This window comes from Homo sapiens, chromosome 9 (genome assembly GCF_000001405.40).
Source record: "Homo sapiens chromosome 9, GRCh38.p14 Primary Assembly".
Classification (NCBI taxonomy): Eukaryota; Metazoa; Chordata; class Mammalia; order Primates; family Hominidae; genus Homo; species Homo sapiens.
Window position 1 is genome coordinate 83877961 of NC_000009.12, and position 23751 is coordinate 83901711.

At 35.7% G+C, this 23751-nt stretch overlaps 1 protein-coding gene across 34 annotated transcripts in view; it reads right to left on the reverse strand.

The window, feature by feature from the left end:
- The window catches only part of KIF27 (kinesin family member 27), an 87334-nt gene that overhangs the window by 43862 nt on the left and 19721 nt on the right, over window positions 1–23751 (reverse strand). For 14 of the 34 annotated variants that reach the window (XM_011518848.4, XM_011518849.3, XM_017014900.2 and 11 more), the window contains 8 exons: window positions 21701–21844; window positions 18872–18949; window positions 13335–13541; window positions 11124–11293; window positions 10529–10632; window positions 9081–9236; window positions 5853–6058; window positions 2337–2534 (listed from right to left, as the gene is read on the reverse strand). In XM_011518848.4, the coding sequence (XP_011517150.1) occupies window positions 2337–2534; window positions 5853–6058; window positions 9081–9236; window positions 10529–10632; window positions 11124–11293; window positions 13335–13541; window positions 18872–18949; window positions 21701–21844 (1263 nt within the window). Of the gene's footprint in view, window positions 1–2151; window positions 2535–5852; window positions 6059–9080; window positions 9237–10528; window positions 10633–11123; window positions 13542–18871; window positions 18950–20731; window positions 20782–21700; window positions 21845–23751 lie in introns of those variants that run through there. The other 20 variants (NM_001271928.3, NM_017576.4, NM_001354070.2 and 17 more) reach the window with 6 other exon arrangements.

Genomic DNA, 23751 nt, shown 5'->3' on the forward strand with positions numbered 1-23751 from the left:
TCATCCATCCTGGCTAACACAGTGAAAACCCGTCTCTACTAAAAATACAAAAAATTAGCCGGGCGTGGTGGCGGGTGCCTGTAGTCCCAGCTACTCGGGAGGCTGAGGCAGGAGAATGGCGTGAACTCAGGAGGCGGAGCTTGCAGTGAGCCGAGATCACGCCACTGCACTCCAGCCTGGGCAACAGAGAGACTCTGTCTCAAAAAAAAAAAAAAAAAAAAAAAAAAAAGAGATACAACGATACAACTTCATACCTACTCAGATGACTATAATTAAAAAAAGGAAAGAAACAGGTGTTGACAAAAGTGAGGAGAAATTAGAACATTCACACATTGCTGGTGGAAATGTAAAATGATGCTGCTGCTATGGAGAACAGTGGTTTCTCAGAAAGCTAAGCACAGATTTACCATATAACCCAGAAATTCTACTCCTAGGTACATACTCCTAGGTACATACCCAAAGGAATTGAAAACAGAGACTTATTTGTATGCCAGTGTTCACTGCAGCATTATTCACAATAGCCAAATGGTAGAAACAACTCAAGTGTCCATTGATGGATGAATGGATAAAGAACTGTGGCATATCCATACAATGGAATATTACTTGGCAATAAAAGGGAATGAAGTTCTTGTACATGCTGCAATGTAGACAAACCTTGAAAATATTATGCTAAATGAAATAAGGCTGACACAGAAGGTAAAATATTATATAATTCTACTTATATGAAGTATCTAGAATAAGCAAATTCATATAGAAAGTAGATTAGAGATTACCAAGAGCTGGGGGAAGGGGAAAATGAGGAGCTATTCCATAATATTACAGAGTGTCTGTCTGGAGTGATGAAAATGTTTTGGAAATAGATAGTGGTGATGGTTGCACAAGATTGTGAATGTAATTAATGCCACTGAATTATACACTTAAAAAACAGTTAAAATGGGTTGGGCACGGTGGCTCACACCTGTAATCCCAGCACTTTGGGAGGCTGAGGCGGGCAGATCACCTGAGGTCGGGAGTTCAAGACCAGCCTGACCAACATGGAGAAACCCCATCTCTACTAAAAATACAAAATTAGCCGGGCGTGGTGGTGCACGCCTGTAATCCCAGCTACTCAGGAGGCTGAGGCAGGAGAATCACTTGAACCCAGGAGGCGGAGGTTGTGTTGAGCCGAGATCACACCATTGCACTCCAGCCTGGGCAACAAGAGTGAAACTCCATCTCAAAAAAAAAAAAAAGGAAAAAAAGTTAAAATGGTAAATTTTATGTTATATATATTTTACCACAACTTAAAAATTAATAATAAATAATGAGTAACTTGGTTTAAATGCTCTTTAAGTTCCCTTCCATTGCTGAATTCTGTGATTTTTTTTTTTAAGGTCGGAAAATAGGTTATATCCATTGTTGAAAATCTAGGAAATCTGGGGCATACTGATAACAGGAGAGGCTAAACATGTGCAGGGACAGGGAGTATATGGCATATCTCTGCACCTTCCTTTCAATTTTGCTGTGAACCTAAAACGGCTCTAAAAAAATAAAATCTTAATTTTTAAAATATCTAGGAAATCTCCAATTATGTCCCATGCCTTGGGTTCAGCTTAACATTTCAACGGAACAGAGCCTGGCACATAGTACTAGATAAGTGTCTGTTATTATGATCATCATCATCTTTTTCAAAAAAGCCCTGTGGGACAAGTAGGATTAAGGCCATTTTAGATGAGAATAAACAGACTCAGAGAGGGTAAAATTTTTGAGAAATTTGAGAAAATTTATTTTCTCAATAAATCTCTCAGCCAGCAACTGAGTGAGCTAGGATTTGAACCTATGATAGCCTGGTCAAAGAGCCTAGGCTGACACCACTAAGTTCTTCCCCAGCCCAATCTATTCTAGAACTGCTGTGCATACAGGTCTGATCATTTTTCTGCTCACTGTGAATGAAATGGTACCACTTTACCTGGTACTTTTTCTGTGTAGCCACATGGACAACGCATGTCAAAGCACTTTGAAAACAGAAAATCCTATTCAAATGATAGGTATTATTTAGAAAGTTGGCTTTATAAATGTATGTTTTTGACAGCTTCAATTAAAGTTAGGATCCTACTAAGAGAAATTATCATTGTACCTTCTTTTGTGAAGTCAAAGCCTTCAAGACAGTACTCAAAATTCAATAAGTAGGTTTTACTACGTAGATGAACAAAGCTTTAAAGTGAATAAGGACAGCAGTGAAGGGCAGGTCAAGGATAGATACTTCACAAGCCAACTGAATGAAGACCATGGATTCGTTAGCTCTGAGCCGTTTAACATTTCATATTATACTTAGCAGGAATGTATGACAATATTACTTTGATTTTTTGCTGGTCCCGCTTAATTACTGCATCCAGTTGCTTCCTTTTTTCATTTTCTTCTCGTAGTTTTCTTTGTAGCTGTATCTTTTGATATTTCATGTGATCTACACTCTGCTCTAGCTCATTAGCACGTTTCTCATTTTGGATTGACAGTGATGCCAGTTTCTTACTATCTTGTTGCTTCTTCTGCAAGACCTGAGATCATATGGAATATTTCAAAATGAAAAACTGAATCTCTCACAATCCTCAACTAAACTTAATCTTTTCATTTGATGGTAAAAGAAGAAATTTTCCCTAGATTTTCATTTATTTTTGACAGGTTTACAAACAATTGCTTACTATCATACATTTCCATTTTTGCAATTAGGGAAACCATCATAATTTGCATCACATATGTAAAAGTATAAAGAATCATGAGACTTCCTGATGTGGACAACAAACAAATGAAACAGATGATTTGCTTTTCATTAATAAGTATTTTAATTTAAAAAATAGTTAAAACAGTATAAAACTGAATTTATATTTTAAGAGTCACTCTTATCATATACCCCTAATCTACCTGTCCTGCTTCCCAACACAAAATTATCAATTTCTTAAATATTCTTCCAGAAAAAAATGTATGCAATGCATATGCATGCAAATAGCTGCATATGTATTCTATATAGACTACTGTCTCCCTTTTTTCCTACTTATCTCAGAGGTCTTTTCATATAGATTTGTTCCAGGTGGCTGCACAGCATTCTACTGTGCTCTTGTTTTTATAGCTACAGCTATAGCCTAAATCGTTAATCCCTGAGTTAGGATGATCAGAGCTGATAACATCTTCCCTGAGAGTGACCAACCATTATAATTACTATTTTAACATTTATCTTAAATTCCTTCTCATCTAACTAAAATTACGTACAGATAGCATTAGACTTTCAAAGTGTTCACACCACTAATATAAAATACTTGTGTTACAATTTAGTCCTGACCAAACAAACATGTATTAAACTTGTATAATGTGATTAGCATTGCACTAAATACCAATTAGGTGGCATAAAAAAGGTAAAGGGATGTCATTCATAAATTATGCAGACCACAATTAATTATTTCCTTTATTTTGGCAATAAAGTGTTAGCATAGGCAAGTTTTGTTTTAATTAAACTAAGTATCCAAGAGGCACTGCTGCTTAGAGCAGTGCTACTCAAAATGTGATCTGTGGACCAGTGCTAGTTCACAGACATTGTTGTCAATTTGCACTCCTCAGCATACTGTTAGATTCGGTTGACGTTTTCATGTGAGACTTTTTTGATCAAGGAAGCTGTGCAATGACTGACCTTTATCTCATCACAGAACAAGAACAATCGGCAGATGGACTACTTTGGGTACCACTGGCTTGGAGGCCACAGGCCTTTGCCATTTCCAGTACCTAAATTTGGACACTGGCTTTGCCACTTACAATTGACAGTAATTACAATACTGCAGCAAAAATTATAATACCAGCATTTTAGTGTCTTTTTCACATAATATTAAAAATATCAGTGTACATCCTGAAAGTCTTACTTAAGAGTGAGATACTGTTGCCATTGTCTTTTGCACTTATTTCATAGTTGCTCAAAAGTGCATCTGTCAGCATTAAACTATTAATGCAGCATGTAACGCTCTACATATACCTAAAGACATTAAAAATATAGGTTTTAGAAGTTTTTAATTTAAAAATGTTTTGTTTTAAAAATTGAAATAACTGTTTTATACCAATAATAATACTAGTATTTCAATATTTTAAAACAGCATGATATGGCTGGGTGTGGTGACTCACACCTGTAATCCCAGCACTTTCTGAGGGCGAGACGGGTGGATCACTTGAGGTCAGGAGTTTGAGACCAGCCTGTCCAATGTGGTGAAACTGCGTCTCTACTAAAAATACAAAAATTTGCGGGTGTGGTGGCAGGCACCTGTAATCCCAGCTATTTGAGAGCCTGAGGCAAGAGGATCATTTGAGCCTGGGAGGAGGCAACTGCAGTGGGCTGAGATCATGCCACTGCACTCCAGCCTGGGCAACAGAGCAAGACTTCACCTCAAAAAAAAAGTATGATATGTTAGAGAACTGAAAACCGGTATTGTCATCACCACTATGGGACTCTGACTGAGTTATTTTACCTTTCTAAACCTTTCTTTCCACATTTGTAAAATGGCTAAAAATGCCCACTTCAAAGGATTAAATAATGCGTATAAACCATTTGGTATGTATAGGCCCTCAAATGGTAACTACTGTCCTCCTCATCCTCCTTATCATCCTTATCCCCATGAGTAGTGCATGGATATGTCAAAGGTACAAAATTTCTAAAACTATGTCTTCTTTCTGTCCTCTGCTGTATCAGATGTTTCTTTTGAGGTAAAGTTCTACACCTTTCATTTTCTTTCCTTATCAGTACTCTTAGCAGAAAAGGATATACAGCAGGAAGCAAAGCATGGAAAGGTGAATTCCAAAGTGGAAATAACTATGCTGAAGGAAAATGGAAGGTGTGACATAGATAACCACCCTATGTCCTCCTTTAAGCAGTTCAAATATTCAAGTCATATTATTTTAACTTGATGTTGACTTGAGAAACTATTTAGGTAACAATTTTTAGTGGAAATATCCAGATGTTTGAGGTGGCATCAGAAACCCCAGGAGGGACTTTTCAGGCCTGTCACACCAGAATATACTGGTATATTACAATATACCGGGCACACCAGAGGTATATTGTAAACATCTATTTTGTTTAAAGCAAATAACTGTGGCATAGTTCAATAATAATAATAATAATAATGCTGTGAATAGGTTAATTACAACTCTACCTAAAATGGAAAAATATAAAAATGTTTCTATAACATGAAAGAAAGCAGTAGACCATGAGAGATAAAGAAATAGAGGACACATCCTAGAAAGTTCATTATGATCAGACTAACAAAGCACTGTGACTATCTCCAAAGCACCTGGAAATGGCTTCATCACACAAAATCTCCATGTGATGGAATATTTCTCATAGAATAGAATTTTTAACTGTAGCTATTTCTAAAGTTAAAGCTAAAACCAGGCATTAGGAAGTTAAGGATGAGTTGCAGTACACAAAGTTATTAACCTTTCTTAAGCCAATCAGTTATGGTTTGGGAAAACCATATCTCGAAATAGTTCCCATTTGTTGAGTGTCTACAAAGTGTCATATATGTACCAGCTGTTTTATTTGTATTATTTAATCATTATTTAATCCTTTGTCCTTCAGAAATAAACACTGTTTCGTGGTTACGTTTATTTCTTACCATGTGGTTTTTTGATATGATGATTGAAAGAAGATACTTCTTGAATTAAGAAATATACTACCCAGATTGTAAAATATGTAAATCGACCAGCACACTACAAAAGAAAAGTTGATACCCAGTTTCTCTTGCTGGTATAAACTGAATCCCACTTCTTTCCTAACTCAGTACAAGAATCCTCAGAAGCAAGAAAGCTTAAATAAGTTTTCTCAATTACATTTTTTAAATTACCTGAACTCTCAGCTTTGCAGCATCCATCTTTTTACGAAACTCTTTCTGTAATTTTACCTTCATTGCAACATCAGAAAGATCTTTGTTTTCCAGCTCCTGTAGCTGCTTTTGTGTTTCAATCAGTTCGACTTTTGCCTGTTCTGCATCATGCTCTAGCTTTGTTACTTTCAAAGAATACTGCTTGCTTACAGACTTGGCATCATTACCTTAACCGTAATAATAATTATTATTAGTATAAATTATGTAAAAAGAAGTTAAACATCCAAAACATAAAAATACTCTACTCTAAAATCCAGCCAGGCAGTGATACTATTTAAGGCATAGCATTAAAAACCCAGTTGTCCCCACCCACCCCCATCAAACACAGCTTGCCATCAGGCCTCTTAATAATTAGTTCCTTAATGACTGTTCCCATCTGCTGCCAGTCAGTCTCACTGGTTCAATGTTTGGCGTTTTAGAGTGACATCTCTGGTCCTCTGAATTTGTAGTTGAGCTTTGCTGGCATCAAACTCAGTTAAGAAGGATATTTGGAGTGACTGTTTGTCCTCTTGCTTAGTATACTCCAGCCTCCTGCTACCAATAATCTGTCTGCTTGAATTCCTTTTTTAAATTATTATGAAAATTTTAAAATACAACAAAAGAAATAATAAAATGAACCGCCATCACCCAGATTTAAAAGTTATCAAGATTTTGTCACAGCTGCTTCAAATATGCCTATTGTTTTACTTTGCTTAAATATTATAAAGCAATCCCAAATGTCATTCATCTCACCTATACATACTTCATTTTGTTAAATTCCTCTTTTTACTTATACATACTGCAATCGGCATTCACACAAAATATGGACATAACCAAAAAGTCATTATCACACTAACAATATTAACACCAATCAGTCCATATTCAGACTTCCCCAATTGCCTCAAAATGTGTCTCACAATTGGTTTATTTAAATCAGGATCTAAACAAGGTCCACAATACATTTGATTTGTTATGTCTCTTAAGAATCTTTTCATCCAAAGCTAACTCTCTCCTTTTTCACTAACCCGAACTTATTCAAGATTAATTCCTTTTAAATTCTTTTCTTATTAATATATAGAAGAGAAAAAATAGAATAAAGATATTTCTATATCTCTTGATTCTAAATCCAGCTAGTGACCCTAAAAGCTTGGTTTTGATTTGCTCTGAATAGGCAACCGTCCCTGAACTAGACTGGCAAACTCGTGGCAGTAGAAAACAGGAGTCTAAAGCTCAGAGGATGAATAATCACCAGAGACAGTTTATTATACTATTTATTTATTTAGACAGAGCCTCGCTCTGTCACCCAGGCTAGAGTGCAGTGGTACAATGTCAGCTCACTGCCACCTCCGCCTCCTGGGTTCCAGCAATTCTCCTGCCACAGCCTCCTGAGTAGCTGGGATTACAGGCACACGCCACCATGCCCAGCTAATTTTTGTATTTTTAGTAGAGACAGGGTTTCACCATGTTGGCCAGGCTGGTCTCGAACTCCTGACCTCAAATGATCTGCCCACCTCGGCCTCCCAAAGTGCTGGGATTACAGGCGTGAGCCACCGTGCCCAGCCTATTATACTATTTATATAGCTGGTTATACTGCTATCCAAAAATACTCATCATTTTTTTATAAAAGTTATTTAACTAAATGCAGTGTGAACTGTCCTCTGACTCTAATTTATGATTACTTGACTAACTTTAAAATACATACAACTACTATATTTTAACAAATCATTTTGGACTATTCATTAATTGTTCAACACACCAATATTTTATGAACCACTAAAAAAATATACAGTGCCAATTACAACATGTTTATTTTATTTTTTTGAGACGGTCTTGCTCTGTCACCTAGGCTGGAATGCAGTGGTGCAATCATGACTCACTGCAGCCTTGACCTCTGGGGCTGAATCAGTCCTCCTACCTCAGCCTTCCAAGTAGCTGGGACTACAGGCGTGTGTCACCATGCCCAGTACGCATCAGTAGTTTTTATAAATTTTTTTTGCAGTGTATTAGAATTGATAAAATATAGTATAGATGTCCTGTTATTATTAGTTGGCAGAAGTAGCTGCTATTCAAGAAAAGTCTTCAGTGAGAGAGCATTAAGGGCATTAAGTTTTTTGTGTTGTTTTTTTTTTTTGACATTTTTTAAGAAGCATCCTCTGCTTAGCTACTTTCCCAAAGCTTTTTCCTTTCTCATTCCTAGTGACATATGTGCTATGCATCATCCTAGCTCCAGTTATGCAGATGTTTAAATGAGTTTGGCCATGCTGCTTCCCCACAGGCAGGATCAAACACCAGTTGACCCCTCTTAGGAGTATCTAGGAGCTGATCTAGAATGGTTTCTCCATTCCCAAGATTTCAGGGTACTGCCTGTGGAAGTTGAGGATATTTACCCAATAGAATCAATGACTTTCTTTCAGAAAGGTTATCTTACTATGGATCTCATTAAACAAGCATGTGTTTGTAGCCTGGTATACCCAACGTGGTTGTTTTAAAATAGAGGATACCAGAGCTTATACAGAGAAGACCCTTTTCTTGCTCATTAGAACCAAGGGCAATTTGGAGCTTTCCTAAAAATCCTCAGAGATGGTGACTAACAAAAGTTGTCAGTGAGTGCTTACTTTTCAATGCCCTCTCACTGAAGACTTCTCTTGAATAGCAGCTGCTTCTGCCAACTAATAATAACAGGACTATATTTTATCTATTTTATAGATAAAATATCTATACTATATTTTATCAATTCTAATACACTGTCAAAAAAAAATTATAAAAACTACTGACGCATACTGGGCATGGTGGCACACGCCTGTAGTCCCAGCTACTTGGGAGGCTGAGGTAGGAGGATTGGTTGAGCCCCAGAGGTCAAGGCTGCAGTGAGTCATGACTGCACCACTGCACTCCAGCCTAGGTGACAGAGTGAGACCCTGTTTCAAAAAAATAAAATAAACATGTTGTAACTGGTACATTAAGTGCCACAGAATTTCAGCACAATGCAGAGTTCACACCAGTTAGAACAATTCAGAGGTGAAATCCCAAAACAACAAAATTCTTCTGATAACTAACCTCCACATATTGGCCTAAAAACTCACCTTGTTACACCAATCCAAGCTAAGTGGATAGACCTGAGCTTCAAAAACTAAAGTAACTGTTACCACATCAGAAGCAATTTTAAGAAGTTTTCTTTCTCATTTAAGCTGGTTCACAAGATACTATTACCTGTTTTTATTAATTCTTTAATCAGATCTTCCTTCATCTTGATGTTAATTGTAAGTTCTCTCATTTTTTGTTTAGCTTCAGTAAGTATGCGTTCTGAATTCTTTAATTTTTGCAAATTCAATTCTTGACTCTCCTGGAGACAATCAATCTTTAAATCTTTAAAAAAAAATGGAGAAATAAAACTATCTGCTGGTAAAATATTCAACAGAAGTAGAGTTAAAAAAAGAAAAGCAGACTCAAAAGCAATTTAGAGGTGGCAGTGGAAGAGACAAAAAGGAAGGGGAGGAAAAAGGGGAAAAAATACACAGCAATTGGGACTCTAGCATTCCAGCTTACAGTAAGAGTTTTTATTTTCTTACAAATTAATACATGTATGTATATATTCTTTCTTAATATCCCATAAGTTCAGACACACAGTTTTTCATTGCCTTTAACATGAGTTATTTGAGATAGGTATAAAATTTCCAGATGGAGAGAGGGGTGAATTTGTTTCCTATCAACTTCTACTTTTACTGTAATTGGAGAATGCAGACTATACCAGGCTACTCAGAGTGTGGTCTAGCACTGTTTGTTACTGTCCTGCACCAGAATGTAAATCAACTATGTCACTAAGCACACTGCTTTAGTTCAGGTGACATTTTTTTCATAGCCAGACTTTCTCAAGGAAGGAACTAGTGTAAGCTCATTTACATTCCGACGTAAGTTTTTTTCCTGGTTGCAGAGCAGTAACAAACAGCTCAAGCATGGCTGCTTGAGTAGCATTTACCTTTATTATTTCCACATTTTGAAATTTATTTTAGTTATACTTAAATTTTTGGCTCATAAAGCCACGTATAGGTTCTTAAAGAGATGCTCTATATTTTCAAAGTGTAGCACTTGTATTATCCCTATTCCCTTATTTTTTGTGGGTCAACCACGCATTGACCAAGAGAGATGAGTTAACAAAATCTCCTACTACCGGCTGGGCACAGTGGCTCATGCCTGTAATCCCAGCACTTATTGATGCATAAAAATTCTTAGCAGTTGTGTACTAAAACATTACCAACACCCAGTACACTAATTGGGCTCTAATGCCAAATACATCATTGATGTTAGGCACAAGTCCCAGTGAAGGAGTAGACACCTAGTACAATTATTTATACTGTATTTTAACATCATCAGGAATACAAAGCATATCAATTCAGGTCTGAATATAAAAATCCTTATTCTGAGGGAGTTAGCCTATATCTCTCGCTATAATTAATTGATAGAAAATCTTTTTTTATTAAGGAGTAAAAGAGTAAAAGAGGTAAAACAGAGAACATAAAAGAAGTTCTACCAACTAGGAAAGCATTTGTACCAAATTCTGGTCTTTGAGAATTCCTGGATGTTTCTTAAATTATCAACTGAGGAAAAAGATAAGTGTCCTATAACCATTAGGTCTACATTATTTAAGAAGATCTATGTACCTTCATTCTCCAAATCTGACTTTTGTGTTTCATCCTGAGTATCACTCAATTCAACAAGGGAACAAACAGAGTCTGGCTTCTGAATCCATGAACGACTTCTACATCTTAAAAAAAAATCAGAAAGTTAACTTATTTGTTCGTGTTTTCTAATCTGCCCTCAAATTAGTTTCCCCGAAAAGTGAAAGTAATGTTAAAAAAATTATTAGTTACATATAAAAACAGAATGTTACTAATATTGCTCAAAATAAAAGGATGCCCCCCCCATCCATGTTGAATCCAGTAGAAAAGTCATGTTTGTTGCCAACGTGGCAGCAGAATAAGGAAATCCAAAAAAAAAAAAAAAAAAAAACCTCTGAAAATTAGAATCTCATTACTATAAAAGCTCTAAAAGCAAAATTATTTTTCAGTTATAAGACTGATGACTTGTGTTCAAATACTATTTTCATAACACATTAGATGATAGTACTTTTAGCAAAAGTTACCTACTCTTCTATTAAACATAAAAGATATACTCCAATGGAAAAAACCTACACTTCTATATTTATTGCAGCATATAATTCTAAATATTTATTAAATCAGTGTATATTTAACATACCTAGTTCCAGATTTCTCTTGGCCTTCTGATTCTTCATCATCACTGTTATCAGAAAATTGGCAGTGGAGGACCTTATCTTGTTCTTCTATGTGACCCAACAGCATCTGACTTCGTGTTCGAAATCCAGCAAATATTCGATCCAGAGAGTACATAGGCGGACTTGTGTGGACCTTGCAAGTGATTCCCCCACCCAACAACAAAAAAAGTGATATTTTAAAAGTCTAATTTTATCCTATTACTCTAAGTGCTTTTAAAGGGGTTATTAGATTGGCACTCTTAAAATAGCCAATCACTGGAAAATGCTCCCCTCAAACAAAGGTCAAAATTAATTTAACAATACTGTTGTGCCTCACAGACAAATACTTCTTTCAGAATCCACACAGCTCCTTCTCTTCTGGACAACTCTTCTATCTTCACTTACAGAAAACAGTATTCAAAAATGAAACCAAAAGAACGCATGGAAAACATCCTAGCTCTTAAACACAACACAGACACACCCCAACAAATGTACCCTCTTCCCCATCTTCCCAGTTCAGAACACCTGGAGAACTGTGGTGCTGCCGCCAAAGGTCTGCATCCCCTCCAATCCAAATCCTACCACAGGAAGAAACCCAGAGCCGTCTCCACTCCCTCTGCCAGGGCAATATTCCTAATCTGAATACCACAATGTATATACTTATTCTTTATACATGGTAGTTAGGTATAGCTGAATTAAGGCTCTAGGAAAAATATTTAATATATGTCATAGGACAAATAAAATCGTATGGCTAGCCTGGGAGTTTTCTATAGTACAACATTCTTCTATTGGAAATGCACTTTAAATTCTCAAAAAAAAATGACCTTGGAAAACAACAACAATAAATTAGAAATTGCCTTTATACCTTTGTTCTGGTTTCTATTACAAAATATTTCCTCTGCACCATCTCTGTAACCAAATCTCAAGATGACTTCTCTCAAAAGGCAATAAAATCTTAGAGGAGACAGTCCATTTATCAATATAAATTATTATAAGCTGTTAAAATTATAACATATAGTGGAATATGAGTATCACACAGTGTTTAGGATTTAATCACTTGACAATAGGCCCCCGTCATGTATTCTCTCCTAAAAAATCCTACCTGATTCTGAAAATCATCTTATATCTGATTTTTGTGCTTCTGCTGTCAGTCACCTAATTAGATCATCTGTCACATCAGCATCATGATAGATGGGCGTAAAGTTTTTTAGGTGGCCTCCCAATGGGGTATGAGGGAGGGGAATTCTTTAAGAAGAACCAACTCAAGAAGTACTGATCTAACAAATACAACGTACTAGACATGGCTATTTTATCCCATAACTGGCAGGCATCTAGTTTTCTTTTGTGAGAGTTTGGGAATTATTTAAGGAGCAAATAATAAAATCTTTGTTCAGAGTCCAACTTCATTCTCTGGGATTGTAATTTCCTTTTAAAATTTCTTTTTACAAAGAAAACCAAATGTCCAGAGCTATTATAGTATTCATACCACCCAAGGCTGCCTGATGCAAAGTCCATGACACTGCTCATGTATCACTTGCCTTTCATTTCTTATCCCTCTGACTGTAACAACCAGATGGATCTCACGTGAACAAATCATTTCCCTTCATAAAATGAGGAAACAGAAACCAGAATTCATGAACCTGCTAAACCAAAACTCATGAATCTGCTAATTACGTCTTTTCCATAATAGAGATTCTTTGATAATTCTTAAAACTGTGTGTGTATATATTTACCAACCACACACAAACTAAAATTTATATTGATATTTATATTGTCTTGATTATGTCTACTTGGTAAGACTGAACAGCATATAAATATTATTTCAAAAATGACAGACCAAACAAGTTGAAATAAATATCCTCTAACATCTCAACTTTGTGTGGTTAAAGGAAGAAATAAATTCATGTAGATATTAAACTTGGTCATGTCTGAAAATATGGCAAAGGATACCTTTTTCACATTGAAGAAGTATGGACATTATCTCCATCCAACTATTCCCTCCAAATGTAACTGTGTATTCTCTTGTTTATTAGTTTTTTTATTAGAAAGAAGTATGCTTAAAAGAAAAGGTATACACAAAATTCCATAAAATCAAACAAAAAAAATCTGCTGAGACTGTATAAATACACTGTGATATTACACATGGCTAAAATTTTTTTAATCTCCAAATAAGGAAAAGATTGTTTGGACTTTACCTTCCTGGAATCTTGTCTTGATGGGATATAAATATAATGCCCCAAATGAGTATCAAATGGTACAGTATATGGTCTCCTTTCAGGGATCCTGGCATCTGGCCCATCTCCACAATTTTCTTTAGCTGAAGAAGTCACTGACAGGTTAAGTTTTGTTAGTTCTTCACTCAGTTGATCCACAAGAAGTTGTTGTTCTATTATTTTTTCATTCTTTGTAGAAGAGAGATGAAAATTTTTAATATAGAGCACTTCAGTACATTTAGATTATGATTAAAAATGAATTTTACATTGACCAAAATCATAACTACTTTAATAATACAGTCAATTCTCATTTATCCAGAGACTAGCTCTCTGGTGTTCACAAGTAACTAACATTGTTCTGAGTGGTAAAACCTTTTTAATAGTAAGGAGCAACAAACACAGCCAAAAAAGTCAAAAGTCAAATACTCAAAGATAACACGCCATCCACTGTGACTGGATGCTTTGCCAACCTGAAGCACTTTGATTAGCTATCTTTATTAAAGTATGGACTTTCTGAGTGAAATCCAAGAAGTAAAAAGAAACAAGAAAGTTCAAAAAGTGGAGAAAGAATTGTAGGCAGCAGAGTTTGCAGCAAAGGAGGCAGAAGGAGGTAACAAGTGCAGGGAAGTGAAAGCCTTAGTGAAAAAGGAAGCCAAAAGCAGACAGATAGAAGATAGCCAACTGATAGTCCTGAGAGGAAGGAGAACTTGGAAATCAAAGGCAGAACAAATTGTGTATCAGGAATGTGTGTGTGTGTTTGTGTATATGTGGTTTAGTATTTTTTGTGTATCCTCTAAAGAAAATTTTTGAAGTGTATCAAATCTAGAAAGCTCTAATGTCAATCTTTGTTTTACAAGCACAAATTTATGTAAATAAGAAACAGTCATTCATCTTAATACTTCACATGTACTACAATGTTGAAATAGGAAAAAAAACCTTACATTTTCATTGTATAAATGCTGAGCAATAAAAATGCAACCTTACTTAAAAATCACGTATTCAGATAATTAAAATATACAACATCAAAGGATTCAATGGAGTTCTTACATTGCCTGGGAAAAGGATAAAAGTACCAATTAATATTAGGGTGCATGGTATACTCTCTAGGATAACCACTAAAAAAAGAGTAAAACTATAACTTCTAAGTTAGTGGAGAAAACAACAGAAAAAGAAAAAATAACCAATGATCCAAAAGAGGGAAAAAGGAACACAGAGGAGGAAGGATAAATAAAAGGCACAATGGTGGATTTTTACCAAAACAGTAATTATGTTAAATTAATGAATGAATAATGAAATTAAAAGATAAAGACTATCAGAAAGGATTTTAAGATTATCTAACCATATGCTGCTTACAAGAAACATATCTAAAATAGACACAGAAAGATTAAAAATAAGATAGAAAAAGAGATACCATGTAAATATTAATCAAAAGAAAGCTGGTGTAGCTATAGTAATGTCAAGGTAAGCTTTAAGGCAAAACTCATTAGATAAGAAGAGGTAAAAATGATTAAAAGAGCAATTCACCAGGATGGTATAACAATTCTACATTTGTGTCCACTTAATAACACAGCTTCAATATTTGTAGTGCAAAAACTATCAGCACTTCAGGGAGAAATAAGACAAATCCAAAATTATAGTAGGGCTGGGCACAGTGGCTCACACCTGTAATCCCAGCACGCTGGGAAGCCAAGGCCAGTAGATCACTTGAGCCCAAGAGTTTGAGAGCAGCCTGGACAACATGGTGAAGAACCCCTTCTCTACAAAAAATACAAGAATTAGCAGGGCATTGTGGTGTGCACCTGTGGTCCCAGCTACTCAGGAGGCTGAAGTGGGAGGACTGCTTGAGCCCAGGAGGTCGAGGCTACAGTGACTCATGATCGTGCCACTGTGCCCCAGCCTGGGTGACAGAGTTGAGGTCTGTCATAGTGGGAGATTTTAACATCACTTTATAAATTACTGATATAACAAAAAGACTTCAAAGGTGAGTAAAAAATGTAGATTTGAATAATAGGATTAACAGTGCCCAATGACTGCAGAATGCATATTCTTCTCAAGTACCTCTGTAACATTTACAAACATTTGCCTTATTCTGAGCCAAAAAGCAAGTTTCAATACATTCAAAGGACTGAAATCAGAGATAGTATGTTATCTGATCACAATGCAATAAAAATTGATTAAAGAAAAATAAATCCCCCATGTCCTGTAAATAAAATAACTATGTTATTCACAAGTCAAAAAAAAAGTCACAATGAAAATTAGGAAACATTTTGAGCTCAATGTGGAGTGCAAGTCAAGATAAGCTTAGAAATATGTAAGCTTATCTTGACTTGCACTCACAAAGAAGAGAAGCTAAAAATCAATATACTAAATATTCATCTAAAGATGTTAAAAAGATAGCAGGAGGTTACCCCAAAAGTAGAAGGAATTAAATAATAAAGGGCAGAAATTAGTGAAATAGTGAACAAACTAATGAAATAATGAACAAACATACACTAGTGAGGATTAACAAAGTCAAAAATTGTCTCTTTGAAGAGACTAATGAATTGGTAATTTTACTAGCTAGTGAAACTGCAAGAAAAAAAAGTGAGAGAAGGCACAAATAATCAGGAATGAAAAAGGGGACATGTGACTACACAGTCCCCTTTATTCATTAATAAAGATATTAATGAATAAAAGACTATCATAAACAAACTTATGCCAATACATTTGAAAATTATATACAATGGTCAAATTCCTAGAAAAATAAACCTTATCAAAACTGGAGGAAAAGAAAATACTAATATGATTTAATTCATAAAACATACCCCCAAAGAAAATTTCCAGTCCCAAATGCTTAACAGGCTAATTCAACCAAACATTTAAGAAAGAAATAATACCAATTTTCACACACCTTTCCAGGTATAGGGGGAATTAAATAATCTATATTATGAGGCCAGCATAACTTGTTACAATATCTGACAAGAATACTATGAGAAAGAAAAATATAGGACAAACTTACTGACAAATATAAACATCACACTAGCAAACCAAATCTAGGTCAATTGTGCAGAAGAGTTAACATAGCAGACCTGACTGCTATCTTTTAGAAGACCTGCTATGAGGTTGTCAGATGTCTGAGAACTTGGATTTTGGGAGTGTTTCTTAAACACTCTGATTATACTGACTCACTGTGCTCAACTGTTTGCACTATCAATGTGGTTTATGCTGTACACCTGCTTTCCTTGTAGTCTGGGACTTTGGTTCATGCTAGGCAAAGGGTGCCTTCATGACCCACGCATCCTCAATATAACCCATAGGCACTGAGTCTACTTAGTTTCCCCGCCAGATAACATTTTATAGGTGTTGTCACAACTCATTGCTGGGGGATTAAGCACATCCTCTGTGACTCTGCTGAGAGACAAGTCTTGGAAGCTTGTGCCTGGTTTCCTCCAGACTTTGTTCCATGTGTCTTTTTCCTTTGCTGATCTTGCTCTGCATCCTTTCACTGTAATAAATCCTAGCCAGGAGAATGAATATATATTGAGTTCTCATAGTACATCATCCAATCTGAGGGTGGTTTTGGGGAACCCCCAATACAACAGTACATCACAACATCAACAACAAAAAGGGTTTATTCCAGGAATAAAAGATTGGTTAAAAATCAGATCAATCGGCCGGGCACTGTGGCTCACACCTGTAATCCCAGCACTTTGGGAGGCTGAGGTGGGCAGATCATAAGGTCAGGAGATCGAGACCAAGACCATCCTGGCTAACACAGTGAAACCCCGTCTCCACTAAAAATGCAAAAAAAAAAAAAAAAATTAGCCAGGCATGGCGGCGGGCGCCTGTAGTCCCAGCTACTTGGGAGGCTGAGGCAGGAGAATGGCATGAACCCAGGAGGCAGAGCTTGCAGTGAGCCGAGATCACACCACTGCACTCCAGCCTGGGTGACACAGTGAGACTCTGCCTCGAAAAAAAAAAAAAAAAAATCAGGTCAATCAGTGTAACTCACCATATTAGCAGAATAAGGAAGAAAAATCATATGATAAAGAAAAATCATTTGATAAAAATCAATATCCATTCATAATAAAAATTCTCAGTTATTTCCTTAGTTTGGGAAAGGGTAAATTAAAAATACCTATAGAAAATATAATAACTTCAGAGTGAAATTTTGAAAGCTTTTCCTCTATGATTGGAAACAAGACAAGGATGCTTTCTATCACCACTTGTATTCAACACTGCATTGGAGATCCCAGCAAATACAAGAAGGTATTTTTATAATAACTTTATTGAGACAAAATTCACATACTATAGAATCCAACTATTTAAAGTATACAATATAGAAGATATAGAAGAAAAAGATACAGAAGGTGAAAGGATTATAAAGGAAGAAATGAAACTGTTACTATTTGCAGATGACATAATTATAAATGAAAATCCAAAAGAATTTACAGATAAAATATTAGAATTAAAAAGCAAGTATAGACCGGGCACGGTGGCTAACGCCTGTAATCCCAGTACTTTGGGAGGCCAAGGCAGGTAGATCATTTGAGGTCAGGAGTGATTGACTGACATGTTGAAACCCTGTCTCTACTAAAAATACAAAAAAAATTAGCCAGGCATGGTTGTGCATGCCTGTAGTCCCAGCTACTAGGGAGGTGGAGGCAGGAGAAGCACTTGAACCTAGGAGGCAGAGGTTACAGTGAGCCGAGATCATGCCATTGCACTCCAGCCTGGATGACAGAGTGAGACTCTGTCTCAAAAAAAAAAAAAAAAAAAAAAAACAAAACACACACAAGTTTATAGCCAGGCATGGCAGCGGGTGCCTGTAATCCCAGCTATACAGGAGACTGAGGCAGGAGAATCGCTTGAGCCCGGGAGGCAGAGGTTGCAGTGAGCGGAGATTGTGCCACTGCGCTCTTATCTTGGGTGACACAGTGAGACTCCGTCTCAAAAACAACAAAAAAAAGAAATTACTTCCAAAAAGTTTGGATCTTTTCCATTTATCTTGGGAATTTTGAAGGCTCCCCACTTGATGGTAACTGTAGACACTCCTTATCAAAAACTGAGTTTAGTCAGGTTGCTGGATATATAATGTATTAATATCTAAAAATTAGTACAGTTCCACATACCAACAATTAGGGAATTTGAAAAATAAAATTTTTTAAAGATTCCATTTATAGTGACAGAAAAAAAATCAAGTACCTAAAAAGAAATCTATAAATTATTTGCAATATTTCTGCACAAAAAAATGTAGGCCATTACTGAGAAAAAATAAAGGAAATCTAAGTAAATGGAGAACAATACCATGCTTATGGATTAGGAGACTCAATCAAAATATGTTCATTAATTCTAAACATATATAAATGTAATTTAATGTTAATTAATGTTAACCAACTTGATTGAATCTTTCTATAATGTATACATACATCAAAACATTACACTGTATCCCAGAAACATACAAAATTATTTGATCACGAAAAATAAATAAATGAAAATAGCATACTAAGTGAAAGAAGTCACACACAAAGGCCACTTACTGTATGATTCCAGTTGTATGAAATGTTTAGAATAGGCAAATCCATAGAAGTAGAAAGTAAAGTGGTTTTTGCCAGGGGCTGAGGAAAGGAGGAAAATGAGGAGTGACTGCTAGTGGATACAATATTTTCATTTTCATTTTGGGTTGATAAAAATATTCTAAAATTAGATGGTGTGATGGTTAAACAATTCTGTAAATACATAAAAAAATCATTGAATTGTATATTTGAAGGGCTGCATTCTATAGTATGTGAATTATATCTCAATAAAGTAATTATTTTAAAAATTTAAAAATTAAAATAAAATTTATATGGAACAACCAAGACATCTGGGGAGTGGGGAGGGAAGAAGAAAAGCAGAAGGCCTTGCTCTACAAAATATCTAGACTTATTATAAACCTACAATAAATAAGAAATGTGATCTTGGCTCAAGGAGATACAAATCAACCAACAGAATAGAAGGCCAAGAAATAGACAAGAGATTCATGCACAAATGGACCTTGATTTATGATAAAGATAGCACTCAAAACAGTTGTGAGAAGATGGTTTCCAATAAATGATGCTAGAACAAATGAATATCTATATGTTTAAAAAATGAAATTTGATCTTTACTTTACTCCATACACAGAAATCAATTCCTGGAGGACTATACAGCTAAATGTGGAAGGCAAAACAATAAAGCTTCTGGAAGATAATATAGAAAGTATCCTCAGAGGAAACAACTGGGGAAAGGAAAAACTTATTAAATAGAGAACAAATACCATTAACCATAAAGGAAAAGATTGATGAATTTGATTACAATAAGAACTCTTCATCAAAGATACCACTGAGAGTAAAAAGCAAGCCACAGAAAAATTATTTGCAATCATGTAAGTGACAAAGCGCTCACACCCAGAATATACAACAAACTTCTACAAATTAATCTAGAAGACAGGTAACTCAATAGAAAAACAAACAAGAGACTTGAATGAGTACTTCACAAAGGAGGATATCCAAATAGCCAAAAACATATGAAAAAAATGCTCAACCTCACTAGTCATCAGGGAAATGCAAACTAAAGCCACAATAAAATACTACATGCCTACCAGATTGGCTAAGATTTAAAAATTAATAACAAATGTTGAGAAGCACATGGAACAGTGAGAATGCTCACATGGAATAGTGAGAATGCTGGGTGGGAGTATAAAGTGGAAAACAATCTGGTATCACCTACAAAAGTTAAAGATATATCTACCCTATGGCCTAGCAATTCAACTCTTAGGCACAAATCTGAAAGAAATATATGTGCATGTGCACCGAGAGACACTGAAAATTCACGAGAAAATTTCACAGAAAGCCACAAATGTCCATCAAACAGTAGAACAGAAAATAAATTGTGGTATAGTCATACAATAAAATCCTATGTAGCTATAAAACTAAACAAACCACAGTCACACATTACAGATAAAATATTAGAATTTACAGAAAAAATATTATGATTAAAAAGTGGATGAATCATAACAATGTTCAACAAAAGCAGCCAGATACTGAATAAGCTATACTGAATAAATTAATAAAAATTCCAAAAACTAAACTGTAGTGTTGAAGGATACATATTTAGATAGTAAAACCATAAGAAAAGCAAAGAAATGATTACCATGTAAGTCAAGAGAGTGGCTCTCTGAGGAAGAGGGAGGAATAATAATTGTAAGGAGGCACTAAAAATTTTGAGGCGCTGGCAGTTAGCAATTTCTTGACCTGGTGGTGGTTACCCAGCTGTTCTCTCTGTGATAAATCACTGATTAATATGCATTGTTTTGTATATACTTTAGTTTTATGTTTTTAAATTATTATACAATTAGGGCCAGGCATGGTGGCTCATACCTGTAATCAATCTCAGCACTTTGGGAAGCTGAGGTGGTAGGATCACTGAGCCCAGGAGTTCGAGACCAGCTTGAGCAACACAGTGAGACCCTGTCTCCACAAAAAAATCAGAAAATTAGCCGGGCACGGTGGCATGCACCTGTGGTCACAGCTACTCATGAGGCTGAGGCGGGAGGATCACTTGAGCCTGGGAGGTCGAGGCTGCAGTGAGCTGTGATTGTGCCAGTGCACACCAGCCTGAGCAACAGAATGAGATCCTGTCTCAAAACAAACAAAACAACAACAACAAACAACAACAAAATACAATTAGAAGGGTTAAAAAAGAAAACAAAAATCAAACAACGTAAAAATCAAAATCTGATGTGTGCTGGATCAGATTATTTCTCGGGGCATTAGTTATTCCCTGATAGGAAGCTAAAGGCTTTAAATGATATTAACTATTTGGGGTGATGGGAGAAGCCACAGCCAGGGAGTTTAATATGTAGAGGCATACTATGTTATACTGTAGACATATCCATGTTAATATAATAGGAAAGCTAAGATAGAAAATTTGAAAGATGTAAGCAAAGTTAAAAAGCAAATCACTCACGAGGTGTAAGAGGATAATTTAATACATTTTAAAGTTTAAATTATGTATTTACCATCCAACTCCTAACAATATTGCATTTCCTAATACCTTGGCAAACAACAGGAAGGAAAAGTATGGAAAAATAACCATGATATGATTTATAAATTAATTTCCTGGGTATTATCTTTATATTTCTAAAACCAAAGTCAGGCTAACAATAAAAATGTTTCCATTTAAGCAGATTTAAAGGAAAAACTAATAATTCTTTCAGGTGCCTATGTTCAGAACTCTTCAAATGAACATCCTTTTTTTAAGTTCCCATTTATCATTTAAAATGCTACTGTGTTTAGTTAGGTACTATTTCAAGAAAATCTACAGAGCTAGATGCATTAAGAAACTACCTGCAGTCTATTCACTTTTTGCGCTTCTTTCAAAGATACAGCATGCCCTTTGTTTTCCTGTACCATCATCTGCACTTGATTCTTCAGTTCCTTCACCTCCAGTTCCTTCTGATTAAATACTACTTCATCAGCAGCAAGCACACACTAGTGGGGAAAGAAAGCACAAGTGACATTCACCACAGAAAATAATCAAGAAACCCCATATGATAACACAAAAATGGTGATTTGATTATAGCTTGATGATGTCTCATAAATTTTTTTTCATTTTCAACTTTTTCTGATTTCTTTCTAAGAAAGGCAGAAAGAGTTGAGAGAACCTACCATTGCTATAACACAGGAATTCATTACCATGAAGACAGAAGATTTTCCTGATTTTTACTTCCTGTATATAAAAACTAGTTGTTTTGGTTCTAGAGTACCTTCACTAAGATTTTTACAAGTTTGCTAGAACTGCTATGAGATTTTAATGTGGATCACTCAAAGAGCTCACATTTTCCAAATTGACATATAGGGTTATAAGAATACATTAGGGCATTTGAATGAAGCAGATTTGCTGATTTTGTACACTTTCATTATGAAGAGATATATTTTGAAGATGTCTAAAAATGATTAAACAGTTTTACTTTTTGGTTTCTAGTAAATTTGCCGATTTTTAAGTACATTTGGGATATGTAAATAATAAAGTAGTTTTTAAATGAAATAAACAGAAAATTATTTGTCGAGAGCCTCATTCCACATATTGGCTTGGCATTTTAAAAATCTCACTAAATAAGATGTTGGTGTGGATGCGGTGATCAGGGAACACTTCTACACTGCTAGTGGGAATGTAAACTAGTACAGCCACTATGAACAACAGTGTGGAGATTCCTTGAAGGACTAAAAGTAGAACTACCATTTGATCCAGCAATCCCACACTACTGGGTATCTACCCAGAAGAAAAGAAGTCATTATACAAAAAAGATACTTGCACACGCATGTTTACAGCAGCACAATTCGCAATTGCAAAATTGTGGAACCAAACCAAATGCCTATCAATCAACGAATGGATAAAGAAACTGTGATATATATACACGTATATATATACGTGTATATATATGTATATATCACAACTCCTATATAAACCAACTCCAACATTCAAGCTTCCAATTACCAGTACTTCCTGTTCCACCAGTTTCTTATACTAATGAGGAAGGTCCTGCTCTACCTAGACAGTTATTACCTTTCAGAAAAAAAAAAAATAAAGAACTAAAAAAAAGATTTAAAAAGTATTACCTTACCTGTTTTTATGCTATTATTTATTTATTCATTTATTTTTAGAGACAGGGTCTCACTCTGCCACCCAGGCTGGAGTGCAGTGGTGCAATCATAGCTCACTGCAGCCTTGAACTCCTGGGCTCAAGTAATCCTCCCACCTAAGCCTCCCGAGTAGGTGGGACCACAGGCGTATGCCACCATGCCTGGCTAGTTTTTTGATTTTTTGTAGAAACAGGGGTCTCATTTTGTTTCCCAGACTGGTTTCAAACTCCTGGGCTCAAAACAATCCTCCAGCCTCAGCCTCCCAAAGTGCTGTGATTACAGGCATAAGCCACTGTGCTGGCTGAGACTAGTACATTTTAATGTATAGATCTTAATGTAACAAGATAGTTTCAAATCTCATATTTCAAGTAACTAGAAATTTCTGCTTGTTGAGTTTGGTATAATAGGAAAGAAGAACATCCACAATTATCTGAAAAAATCAGTGAAATACTTCTCCCTTCAAACTATACAATTATGAGGCTGAATTTTCTTTACAAACTTCAACCAAAACATATTGCAACAAACTGAATACTGAAGCAGATAAGAAAATCCAACTGCCTGTTATTAGGTCAGATGTTAAAGAGATTTGCAAAAATGTAAAGGAATTCTACTCTTACTAAAATTTTTTTGTGTGTTGGCCGGGTGCGGTGGCTCATGCCTATAATCCCAGCACTTTGGGAGGCCGAGGCGGGCGGATCATGAGGTCAAGAGATGGAGACCATCCTGGCCAACATGGTGAAACCCCGTCTCTACTA